This window comes from Homo sapiens, chromosome 18 (genome assembly GCF_000001405.40).
Source record: "Homo sapiens chromosome 18, GRCh38.p14 Primary Assembly".
Lineage (NCBI taxonomy): Eukaryota > Metazoa > Chordata > Mammalia > Primates > Hominidae > Homo > Homo sapiens.
The window spans coordinates 3,153,642-3,166,979 of record NC_000018.10 but is presented as its reverse complement, the minus strand read 5'-3'; the positions used below and the strand labels follow the sequence as shown (position 1 = coordinate 3,166,979).

The 13,338-nt window shown below is 41.0% G+C and overlaps 1 protein-coding gene across 7 annotated transcripts in view; it reads left to right on the top strand.

Moving 5' to 3' along the window:
* Nucleotides 1–13,338, top strand: part of MYOM1 (myomesin 1) — a 180,570-nt gene that overhangs the window by 80,397 nt on the left and 86,835 nt on the right. For all 7 annotated transcript variants that reach the window (XR_935071.3, XM_047437910.1, XM_047437911.1 and 4 more), the window contains 2 exons: nucleotides 2,541–2,702; nucleotides 11,892–12,033. Coding sequence is in view for 6 of the 7 variants with exons in the window: in XM_047437910.1 (XP_047293866.1) it covers nucleotides 2,541–2,702; nucleotides 11,892–12,033 (304 nt within the window). In the remaining variant the exon portion in view is untranslated. The remainder of the gene's footprint in view (nucleotides 1–2,540; nucleotides 2,703–11,891; nucleotides 12,034–13,338) is intronic.

Sequence of the window (13,338 nt, the reverse complement as noted above, 5' to 3'; positions counted from 1 at the left end):
AGAGAGCAATGAATAAGGCCTAGGGACTTTCATCATCCCTTTTAATTTATCTTAAAGTTTTCTCTAGGTTTATTTATAGAGACGATTATGTTTTAAAGCTCTTAAAAACTTTAAAATTCCAGACATATTTAGTAGTGTACTAGTAAGATTACCATATAATTTTTCTGTTTAATTGTTTTAGAAAATAAATTTTGGAAAAATACAGAAAAATGAAAGAAAAAGTAGTAAATGATAATGCCTTGCGGTATTGTCCTATAAGGTCCTTTATTACTATTATTTGTATGACTATTTATTATTCAAACTCCATTTTGTTCAGGTAAAAAAACAAAGGCACGGAGAGGTTAAGTAATTTCCCTGAAAGTTACATAATTAGTTAGTGAAAGAGATCAGACTGAGCTGGGCACGGTGGCTCAGGCCTGTGATCCCAGCACTTTGGGAGGCTGAGGTGGGCAGATCACTTGAGGTCTGGAGTTTGAGACCAGCCTGGCCAACCTGGTAAAACCCCATATCTACTAAAAAAACAAAACAAAACAAAAAAAGAATTAGCCAGGCGTGGTGGTGCATGCCTGTAATCCCAGCTACTCAGGAGGCTGAGGCACTATAATCGCTTGAACCCGGGAGGCGGAGGTTGCAATGAGCTGAGATCACACCGCTGCACTCTAGCCTGGATGACAGACTGAGACGCCGCCTCAAATAAAAAAAAAAAAAAAAAAAAAGACTTGAGATAGAAAGAGATCAGACTGAAATATAGCTCCTCTCCAGAGCTGACTTTTTGGGCCTGTGAATGGTGCCATTTTACAGGACCAAGAGATCTGGGCTTCATTTAATGCTCTGCTGTCACCCCTTGAAGTTCATAATCACTTTATCTTTGATCTTGTGTTTTATACATGGAGTCCAGTGGGACTATGGCACATGCACATGATCGGAGGAAATACGGGAATGGCAGTGCAGACAAATGTAGGTGCAGGCTCCTGGGCACAGTGGGCAGTGGGTAGTAGGCAGTGTGAGCACCAAGCTGCAGGTGTGGTCTTCAGTTGTGCACATGAGCACTTGGGGCAGTCTGTGGCACCATGGCATTCCAAGGTGATGAAAGAGACCAGGACCTAAGGCCAGACTGGAATTAGCAATGGTGGTGGCACCAGCAGCAGTAGCAGTGGTGATGGGTCCCATGGCTGCAGAGGAGAGAAGGGGCTCGGCATGGAGGCAGCATAGGGACACACAGTGTGGGGACAGATTGCCTGGCCTTCCCCAGAACTCAGCTCTGTGGGATCTGCACAAATATTAACTCCTGGCCTGAGCATGGGGACAGGAACTGCTGGCAATAGGACAGTAAATTTTGTCACTAAAATATTATAAAATAAAAGTGTACATGTAGACACTGCAATAAAGCACATAAGGCAGTTATTAGAATTCTTCAAGGAGGTTTGAATCTCTGGTTTTGAGGCTTAGAATTAGAAGTTACATTTAAAGATTGTAGCATTTGATGGAAAAGAACATTTTCATATGAAACTTTGGATAAGCCTATTATTAACAAGGAAGACAGTTTTAAAATTACCACTTATAATTGAAGATACAGTAATAGAATACATAAACAGGCATCCTGAATTTTATACAAATCATGAAATCATGTTCGGCTTGTAGTGTCACCTCCACAGGTTAAAGCCATATTGGACAAAGCATTAAAATGAAACTGTATAAATTCACACTTAAAATTAAATAGAGATTTACATGAAACTGATTTGTATGAAGAGTTAAATCTTTTTAGAATAATTGTCCCTTTATTCTAGATTCTAGATTGTCCCTTTATTCTAGGTTCTAGAATCTGGAGTCATCAGTTCTAGATTGCTAAAATTTATATTTTGAAATAGTTTCTCAGAAAGTTAACCCAATGTTGTCATAGCCTATATAACTTTTTTAACAGCTCCAGTAACAGTTACATCAGCAGAAAGGTCCTTCTAAAAAAATTATGGGAATTAATTCATGAGCTTGCATTTATAAATAGTTACTGATGTTGCTTTTGATTATATTGATTTAAAATGAAGTTGCTAAAAGTATAAATTTTGATGACTAATAAATGAATTTGCAGAAAAGCAGACAGCAATATCTTATTATCAATCAAGGTCTCCTACTAGTAACGTATTATTATTGATTGCATATACAATTATGGCACCAAAATACGATTTTTTGCAACTTGTATTACCCCTATTACATTACTATAAGTAATAAAATATTTTTAAAGGAAGAAGACATATTTTAGCACCTTTAATTGCACTTTTTCTCTGCTTTTTGAACAAGGGGCCTTGTAATGTAATTTTACACGAGGCCCCTGCGGATTATGTGTCTGCCCCTTATCCCCTTACTTTTGGTCCAGTATTTTTACCAATGTAAACATATCAGGATGGCTCAAAGTCCTAGAGACTTCCTCTAGTAGTTAAATTACTTTCATTATAGAAAAGGCTAAGGAGAGGAATGGAGGGGAGACAAGAAGGAAGTTATAAAACAAAAATAAGTTAATTTGCTTACTTTTAAAATATTTCTAGGAGTACCTCTTTCTCCATCAAAATGGGTGCAAACACTTTGGAGTGGAGAGCGGGCAACGCTGACATTTTCCCATCTCAACAAAGAAGATGAAGGCCTCTATACAATCCGTGTACGGATGGGAGAATATTATGAACAATATAGTGCTTATGTCTTTGTTCGAGGTAAGTCCTAGCAAAAAACAAAACACCTAACAATATTTAGTACACTGAAGCCAAAGCAGTTTTTGATTACAAAACAGTTCAAACATGTTTCATAATGATGGAAGAGTCATTTCAAAATTCTGGCAGGGTGCAATGTCTCACGCCTGTAATCCCAGCACTTTGGGAGGCCAAGGTGGGAGGATCTCTTGAACCCAGGGATTCAAGACCAGCCCAGTAACATAGGCAAGAACCCATTTCTACAAAAAAAAATTTTTTTGATTAGCTGGGCATGGCGGCATGCACCTGTGGTCCCAGCTACTTGGGAGGCTGAAGAGGGAGGATCACTCAAGCCCGAGAAGTCAAGGCTGCAGTGAGCTGTGATTGCACCACTGCACTCCAGCCTGGGTGATAGAACAAGACCCCGTCTCAAAAAACAAAACAAAATGAAACAAAACAAAACAAAACCAAAAAAAAAAGAAAGAAAAGAAAAAGGAAATTCTTGCAGATTACATTGAATAAGAATATGTTCGTTTCCAATAAAATAGACCTAGGCCCGGTGGCTCATGCCTGTAATCCCAGCACTTTAGGAAGCTGAGATGTGTGGATCACTTGAGCTCAGGAGTTCAAGACCAGCCTGGGCAACATGGTAAAATCTCATCTCTACAAAAAATACAAAAAATTAGCCGGGCATGGTGGTGCGCGCTTGTAGTCTCAGCTACTTGGGAGGCTGGAGTGGGAGGATGGCTTGGGCCTGGCAGGCAGAAGTTCAAGTTGGCTGAGATTATGCCACTGCACTCCAGCCTGGGTGACAGAGTGAGACCCTGTCTCAAAAGAAAAACAAAAAAAAAAGTAGACCTAGTGTAAAAGGTGAGCCCTGAGGGCACCAACTCAAAAGTCACCATTTTCCAGACCATGTTTCCATCATTAATATCAGGACTTTCTTCGTCTTCAGGGAGCTGCTAGTACAGTTCCCTATGACTGTTCCGGTGGAGATGCTAAATCCTAATGATACCAGCCATCTCAGTTTAAGGAAGCTGCTGCAAAAGAGGGATCTGTTATTTTGGGTGTAAGTCTTTAATGTGTATTTCAGAGAGTAAATTTATTATTTCATTTCAGGTCCCTTGGCCCATAACTGAACTTTATAGCCTCTGTTTTGATGAACTAGGAAGCAAGGGGTTTCAGCTTAATTCTTGAGACAAACCAAAATTGTTGACTTTAGGAGTCTTTCTTTTTTTCAGTGGTGTGTGGTTTTTTGTTTTTTTTTGTTTTTTTGAGTGGGAGTCTCAGTCACCCAGGCTGGAGTGCAGTGCAGTGGCTTGATCTCGGCTCACTGCAAGCTCCGCCTCCTGGGTTCACACCATTCTCTTGCGTCAGCCTCCCGAGTAGCTGGGACTACAGGCGCCCACCACCATGCCCGGCTAATTTTTTTGTATTTTTAGTAGAGATGGGGTTTCACCGTGTTAGCCAGGATGGTCTCGATCTCCTGACCTCGTGATCCACCGGTCTCGGTCTCCCAAAGTGCTGGGATTACAGGCGTGAGCCCACGCCCGGCCTTTTCAGTGGTGTCTTAAATGGATTGGATATGCACATGTGGAATATTATTCCTCCACGGGATCCTAGCACTTGGGAAGACCATTAGCACTTTTAGGCTACCAGGGTAGTGTTCTGTGTTTTTTTATGGCATGATTAGTCAGGTGCAGTCATAAGAAGAGATCTAGTAGAGGCACAAGAAAACAATGTTTATAATACTCACAGGTCCTAGAACAGGAACAGCTGGGACACGTGGGAAAGTGCCAGTGTCAGTCATGAGTCAGAAGGGGCAGGAGGAGCAAAGGAGTGCCTAGACCAAGCCCTTTATTGGAGTTTCCTTGGGTAGGGAAAGCAGGGCAAGTAAACAAGTTAGGATTGGCTAGTTCAAATAATTTCAGTAGGCTGTAAGTTACAGGTGTGGTCCCTACTTGCCTGGTATCTGGCCCCGGGGATGATTAAGGCAGAACCATATTGTTTCCTGGGTTCTACAGGCCAGATAAAGGAGGTGTGGCTGAAGTGGCTAGTTTGCATATCAGTCATGCTCCCCTCTGGGCCCTAAGAATTGGCTCGCCTCAGGAAGGCAGGCCCTCCTTAGCCAGAATGGTGTCTAAGATGTTAAAGCATCATAATATAGAGAAAATTTAAAATATAAACAATGCAGGTAGACTAGCTCATTTTTATCTCTCTTACACTAAATAGAGTCATAAACTCATAAACATTTTGAGTACTCAACTGGGATCCACAGACTTCCAAAAGGTCTATGATTAGAACTGTATTTCAATATATTTAGGTTTTCTGGTAATCACATGAGTTTTATTTTATGTGTGTAAATGCATTACTCTCAGAAGGACCTCTAGGCTTTACCGGCTTGTCAAAGGGGTCGATGGCTCAAAAAATGTTAGAATTCTCATCCTAGTACAACCCCTTAATTTTATGATGCAGAAACTGAGGTTCAAAAAAGTACGGTAATTTACCAAAAACTTCAGTTAATTAGAAGCAGAAGTGGAACTAGCTTATAGGTCTTCCAGTGGCTAACCCAGGATTTTAATTAGGATCTAGACTAAGCTGCTGAAATGAAATAACAAAAGATTTGTTTCTCTCCTGTATGTGAAAGTTGGGTATGATCCAGATGCCTCTTCCTAGGTCCCCTCTATGTTGTTATTGCACTGTGCCCTGGGGTACTGTCCCAGGTTCTCATCCCAGCCTATGGGGAGGAGAAAGAAAGGGAGTGGAGGGGCAGAGGCCGAATTGCCCTCATCACTTCTGCTTAGTGCCCTCATCACTTCTGCTTAGTGCACACTTAGCACATGCAGACACTTCACAGTGAGGGGAGCTAGCAGGTACTGTCTCTTGTTAGCCAGCCATGTTTCCTGCTAACGCTCAGGGGTCCTAGTACTAAAAGGAAGCAGGAAGAATGATTGCTGGGGACAGTTAGCAGGCCACACCACATCGGCATTGAACAGTAAAAATGACCACTGAATTCTGTCCCAGACCGGCAACTGGTATAGATACCTGAATATCTAAACATCTGAAAAGCATATAAGGCTTTCTCCACCACAAAGGCATCATGAAAAAGTCTATATCATCAGGGAAGACAGGAGCTGGCCTTCTGGGAAAATTGCAGTGAGAACCAACACACTGCAATTAGCAAGTGCGTTCATTTAGCCAAATCACCAGGATCAACCTGGCTAGATGAGGATGAACTAAGCTAAGTCTTTGCTTCCACTTTCCACTGTTTTACTAGAGCCAGAGAACATCGCTGGCTATTCCAAAAACCTTTGTCATGCTATGGTCCTTCCTTCATGAACTTTTTCTAGGAACCCTGACCCAGTCTAGGGTTCCTCAACATTTCTCAGCGCCCACACCCAGAATGGTGCCTCTTTGCCAGGTTTAGGCCAGACTCCACGTTACTAACTATGGATGGGGCGAAGGTGTTCCAATTTAAAATTTATACTTAAGCCAGCTTTCAAATCCACAAATTAAGGAAATGGAAAGATTCTCAGTTTATCAGAGGTTGATGTGAGAGCATTGAAAAGATAAATAGAAAAGGCAAAATTGGAAAGGTAAATTTCAGCAATTGCATTGTGAATTTTACAATCTTTAGAAAAAGATTTCACTTATAAATGTATTTTAAATGATATATATTAGGTTTTTTAAAGCATATTTTTGAGATATAATTTGTATACCATAAAGTTCACTCATGTTAAGTATACAATTTGGTGCTTTTTAGTATATTTACAGAGTTGGGCAACCATTACCCACACTCCACTTTTAGAAAATGTTGACCAGGTACAATGGCTCACGCCTGTAATCCCAGCACTTTGGGAGGCCAAGATAGGAGGATCTCTTGAGCCCAGGAGTGTGAGACCAGCCTGGGCCACATAGCAAGACCCCATCTCTACAAAAACTGAAAACAATTAGCTGGGTGTGATGCATGCCTGTAGTCCCAGCTACTCAGGAGGCTGAGATGGGAGGATTGCTTGAGCCCAAGAGGTCGAGGCTGCAATGACTGGTGATTGCAACACTGCACTCCAGCTTGGGTGACAGAACGAGACCCTGTCTCAAAAAAAAGAAAGAAAAAAAAGAGAGAGAGAAGAAGAAAAGGAAAGGAAGGGAAGGGAAGGGAAAGGAAGGAGGAGGAGGAGGAGGAAGAGAAGAAGAAGAAGGAGGAGGAGAAGAAGGAGGAGGAGGAAGAGAAGAAGAAGAAGGAGGAGGAGGAGGAGAAGGAGGAGGAAGAGGAGAAGGAGAAGAAGAAGTAGGAGAAGAAGAAAAGAGAATAAGAGAGGGAGAGAGAGAAGGAAGGCAGGCAGGGAAGGAAGGAGGGAAGGAGAGAAGGAAGGAAGGAAGGAAGGAAGGAAGGAAGGAAGGAAGGAAGGAAGGAAGGAAGGAAGGAAAAGAAAGAAAATTTACATCACCCCAAAAAGATTTCTCCTCCCTATTTCCCTCTCCCATAACCAGTCTAGTCTCCCGCAACTACTAATTCACTTTCTATCTCTGTAGATTTGTCTTTCTGGACATTTCTGGATCTCTATGGTTTTTTATGTCGGCCTTCTTTGGCTTTACATGTTTTGAGGTTCATTCATGTTGTAAGACATATTGTTCCTTTTTCTTATTAAATTGCATTCCAATACATGGATATGCATCCTTTTGCCTATACGTTCACCCGCTGATGGACAGTGCGATTGTTTTCACTCTTTGGTTATTATAAACATGTGTGTTCATATTTATAGGCCTATATCTTCATTTCTCTTGGGTATCTACCTACAAGTGGAATTGCTAGGTCATATGGTAAATTTGTGTTTAACTTTGTAAGAAACTGCCATTGCTTAAATAATATTTTATTTTTAAAAAAACTTTGTATTCATTGAGCTGCACGAGGTCACTTCAGGGCATTGTTTTGGAGCTCTGATATTCTTACAGCTTAGAAAACAGCTTCCACACCAGAACGATCAGTGTATAAAGCACCATATGTCTGCAGAAACACATTGTAAAGAGCTGTACACATTTGGCCAAGATTTTATTACATAGATAATATGTGTTCATTGTGAAAAAAATAGATAATATAAATTTAACAAATAAAAAGTAAAGCCATCCGTAAGTCTGCCACCCACAGGTATCCAGTGTTATCATTTTATTACATATTCCTTGAGGCTTTGATGTATTCTTTCCTTCTCTTTCTCTTTTCTTTTTTTTTCACACTCTGTTTCTCTTGCTCTCTCTCATGCAGAGAGGAGACAGAGAAATAATAAAGTGATAAAGGATGTCATTAAAATGTCATGAAAGAAGAATTGAAAATGGCAAATAAGTGTATGAAAAAATTTTCATTAGCAATCAAAACAATGAAAATTGAAATGAGGCTGGGCACAGTGGCTCATGCCGGTAATCCCAGCACTTTGGGAGGCCCAGGTGGGAGGATCACTTGAGCCCAGGAGTTCAAGACCAGCCTGGGCAACACAGTGAGACCCTGTCTCTACAAAAAATAAAAAAATTAGCTGGGCATAGTGGAGTATACCTATAATCCTAGCTACTTGGGAGGCTGAAGAGGGAGGAGAGCTTGAGCCTGGGAGGTCAAAGCCACCGGGAACTATGATTGCCTCACTGCACTCCAGCCTGGGCCACAGAGTGAGACCCTATCTCAAAAAAAGAAAGAAAAAAAGAAAATTGAAATGAGATTGTTTTTCCTATCATATTGAAAAGATGTAAAGTTTTTTGAAATCCACTGGGGTAAAGGAATGGAGGAACAGGCACTGCTGCAGTGGCTGGTGAGTATAAATTTGTTCAACTTTTCTCAGGCTCTTTGCCACTAAATATCAAAAACACACATTTCCAACAATTCTAGTTCTAAGAACTGAGGGGACAGAGGTGAAAAAAATGTTTGGGGGAAAATTGGAAGAAATATAGATATTCACCAATATGCAAGTTGTAGAGTAAAGTATAATAGATGCTCCATGAAACGATGACATACCACACAGCAATGAAAACCAATGTCTACCCACATGTATTGATATGGAAATATATCAAGAAAAAACAGCTTACATGAAACTATATAGTACAATCACTTTGTTTCAAAAATAATCATTTCTGAGTTTATAAATATAGAATAAAAGTCTAGAAAGATTTAGGCCAATATGGTAATAGTAGTTATCTCTGGGTTGTAAAAAAGGGATTTTAACATATTTTTTGATTATCATATAGTTCATATAAAATATATGTAACACTTTTACAATAAAGACAATAGAATTACTTACATTTTGCAAAAAGTTATTAATAGTCTGTGTCAGAGGTCAAAATATAAAGAGTAGTAGGCTAATCTTTGATCTAATAATCAAACTTATAAAAAGTTTGGCTATTTGGAGGGCTGGGAGAGGGAAGGGCAGAGGCGTAGAAGAGGATTAATGTTGTCTGAAGGGTGCTGTGGGCCCCACACTGTGTAGCAGCTGCTAGAAGCCAAATACTGTGTTTCCTTGCTTCACAGCTGCCTCTTGTCATCCCAAGTATGTTTTGTTTCTCACACTATATCGTAGCTTCTTGAGAAAAAGAAGGATTATTATTATTATTATTATTATTATTATTATTATTATTATTATTTTTGGAGACAAGGTCTTGCTCTGTCACCCAGGCTGGAGTGTAGTGGTGCAATCATAGCTTACTGCAGCCTCTACCTCCCAGGCTCAAGCAATCCTCTTCCCTCAGCCTCTCAAGTTACTGGAAACATAGGCCCGCACTACCACACCTGGCTATTTTTTTAAAATGCATAGAGACAGAGTCTCACCATGTTGCCCAGGCTGCTCTTGAATTCCTAGGCTCAAGTGATCTACCCAAAGTGCTAGGATTACAGGCGTGACCCACTGCACCCAGCTAGGATCCTTATTTTTTAACTTTTGCAGTTAACACCTAGAAGAGTACTGAATGAATGAATGAGAGAATGAATGAATGAGAGAATGAATGAGAGAATGAATGCCTGAGTAACTTGGAAGATTGTCAAGCCCACCTCAGTTCCAAGCAATGCTATACAAATGTTGAACAATGGCTCCCTGAATGCCCGCTGTCTGCCAGGCTCCATTACAGCGTATTCCTGCCATCGTGCATCTATGCCATGGATGCCCAGCTCACTGAGCTCTGCTCTATCAATGCAGGGGCTCCTGGTTGTTGTGGTATAGGCCGTTAGCAAAAGGACATGGCTAGAGGTTGCCAGCTGTCCCTCTTGTAGCTGATGGCTTTCTAGCAGTGCCTCTTTTGCAGCCCAAGCATGTCAGCCTCAGCATCCCCACCTCCTCTGCAGCTCTGCTCTGCCTTTGCCATCAGCAGCCCCACTCTCCGCCATCCAGTGCTCTGAAAGCCTGGAAGGAAAGAAGTGTCTCGCCGGGCGCGGTGGCTCACGCCTGTAATCCCAGCACTTTGGGAGGCCGAGGCGGGCGGATCACAAGGTCAGGAGTTCGAGACCATCCTGGCTAATACGGTGAATCCCCATCTCTACTAAAAATACAAAAAAAATTAGCCGGGCATAGGTGGTGCACGCCTGTAGTCCCAGCTACTCAGGAGGCTTGAGGCAGGAGAATGGCGTGAACCCGGGAGGTGGAGCTTGCAGTGAGCTGAGATCCCACCTCTGCCCTCCAGCCTGGGTGACAGAGCAAGACTCTGTCTCAAAAAAAAAAAAAAAGAAAGAAGTGTCTCCTCATCAAAATGCTCATTTCCCACTGAGTGGCACGCAGAGATTCTGCATTAAGTTTTAGGCACAATGAGTTAGTTACATTCTCCTATAGCACTTCTGCAGGAGATATTTGCCTAGATGCTTTCCTGCTGGTTCACAGAACAAGAAACAGAATGTTCAAAACCCAAGTGGCTTGAGCTCTTCACAGATAATGCAAATCTATTAAATGCAGAAGTAGACAGATATTTCTGCTATGTTATCAAATGTCCTTGTAACTCATAAGAGTTACAGAATGTAGATCATAGGGAAAGAAAGTGTTTGTTTGGTCGACATGGGTGCTTTCCCTTGAGTGAGTGGCTCCTGCATGTCTCAGCCTCTTCTACTAACTCCGTTTATGAAAGCGTTGGTCAAATGCCAGGAGGAATTGGCAAATGTGGGCCTCCACCCCCAGGGACCCTGCCTCTTGTCTTAATTATTCTCACTTAAAAGGTTACTAACTGAATATTTTCATTCCCCCTTCTCTCCCTCCTATAAACAGCCCTGATTCACTAATTCAGCTGTGCCTGAGGGGCCGTGTGGTCAGGGGATCCCATTTCATAAAAAGGGATTGTAGTGTTTCCTGTATTATCCCGGACTTTTACTAAACTCAGATAAACTGAGCTCAGATGTGAGTATTGCATTGGAGTTCTTTTCCTAAGTGTTCAGTTTGGTAACAATCATTTGATTAAAACGAATGTTTTCTCTTTCAAAATGGTAGTGTCTTGCCTAGGGACTGGCAAAGCTCTATGACTCGTATTTTCTTGTGGATGCCTCCAGAAGGGGTATTTGTCTCCCTTGGGAGCCTTTCTTAGTTTTTCTTAGCAACGTTGCACAATCAATGTCATGAGAACAGACTTTCTGGCACAACTGACTTGTCTGAATGCAATCTTCAGCATCTCTATATTAATTTTCTTTTGGAACATTTTGGGCCACAGGGACCATGAGGCAAAGGTCATGGGTTCTTTTCAGAGCACTTTCTATTTTCTGACACAATGTTCTTCCTGCTGAAGGTGAAAAACACACATTGTTATGTTGGTCAACAAATAGCAAGATTTGGCCGGGTGTGATGGCTCACGCCTGTAATCCCAGCACTTTGGGAGGCCGAGGCGGGCGGATCACAAGGTCAGGAGATCAAGACCATCCTGGCTAACACGGTGAAACCCCATCTCTACCAAAAATACAAAAAGAAATTAGCTGGGCGTGGTGGCGGGTGCCTGTAGTCCCAGCTACTCAGGAGGCTGAGGCAGGAGAATGGCGTGAACCCGGGAGGTGGAGCTTGCAGTGAGCTGAGATCCCACCTCTGCCCTCCAGCCTGGGTGACAGAGCGAGACTCCGTCTCAAAAAAAAAATAGCAAGATTTGATGCTTGCTGCGTTGGGGCCAAAGATTGAGCCACTGTGATGATGTGGTAAGAAGCGTGTGCGCTGAGACCTGCCTGCCGACTGACAGCATGTCTGAGAGGGTTAATGGGATCCTTCTCTGTCTCCACAGATGCTGATGCAGAGATTGAAGGAGCCCCAGCTGCTCCCTTGGATGTGAAGTGCTTGGAGGCCAACAAAGATTATATCATCATCTCCTGGAAACAGCCAGCTGTCGATGGAGGGAGTCCTATTCTCGGATATTTTATTGATAAGTTAGTGCTTAGGCTAACATCAATTACAGTTATTTGGTCATAGAGATGCGTGCTTGATTTCTCCCATCATTTCTAGTGGAAATATTTTCTTTTCTGGCTTTCCTCTCCTCCTCTTTCTATTTCTGTATCTCTCTTCATCTTTCTTTTTCTCTATTTGTCTCTGTCTCAGTCTCTCGCTCTCTCTTTCTCTCTGTATGTATATATCTACACAAACATATACATACATACATATATACACATACATATAATGGTACCTACATATATATATAAAATGGGTATATATACCCATTATAAATGTGTGTGTGTGTGTGTGTGTGTGTGTGTGTGTGTATTGAGTAGGTACTTAGAAACGCTGATTTCTAATTGAGTGCTTTTACAGCAGTTAGTACCTGCAGATGGAGTGGGTCACTCCCCAGCAGACAAATGTGACAGCTCATATCATAGTGTCACAAAATTCATCTTTGGAACTTAGGTAAATAGGTAGGTAGATATATATACATATATATATATTTCATTTCCAAGATGGCCTCTGTTAGGTCTCTATTAGGTCTACGAATTCATAGCATTCTTGCCAAATTAGTAACATGAGCTGGTAGTCAAATTCAAAAAATTCTTTTTTGGAATTTAGGTAAAAGTTCCAAAAATGAATTAAATATTTACCTAAATTCCAAAGATGAATTTTTTTAAATTTGGCTACCAGCTTATGTCACTAATTTGGCAAGAATGCTATGAATTTGTAGACCTCATAGAGGCCACCTTGGAAATGAAATCATTGGAATTCAGCATAATGTCCATATTCCTAATATGTCAATAATTTAAGAATATTTACTTTGGTAATACTACCAAAGTCTTATTTCTACCTCAGGATGTGTTTTCAAGTTATACAAAGAAGTAACAACAAAAAATCAATAGAAGCAAATTATTCACTATCTATAAGTTCTTGTCTATATTCTCCAAAACTTAGAGGCTCTGATATTTATAGTAACTGGGCTTTACACATTAATTATGACATGAGTTTGGACGATACAGACAGCAAATTTAGATTTGGCCTAAATAACATTGTTCTCTGACTTGGTTTCTATTCAGATCGTTGTTCCAATTCTCTTTTCATTTTTGAGTAATGAAATCTCATTGTAGAAATCACTAGAGATGGATAATCTGTGTCATATTAGCACAATGGGTTTGCACCAAGGGTGTGTTGAACTTCGCAGTACATAAATACATGCAATTGTGCTCAGAACTATTTGTAAGAAATATTTCTAATAAATTATATACTATTTAACCATCCATGTGAACTAATGCTTC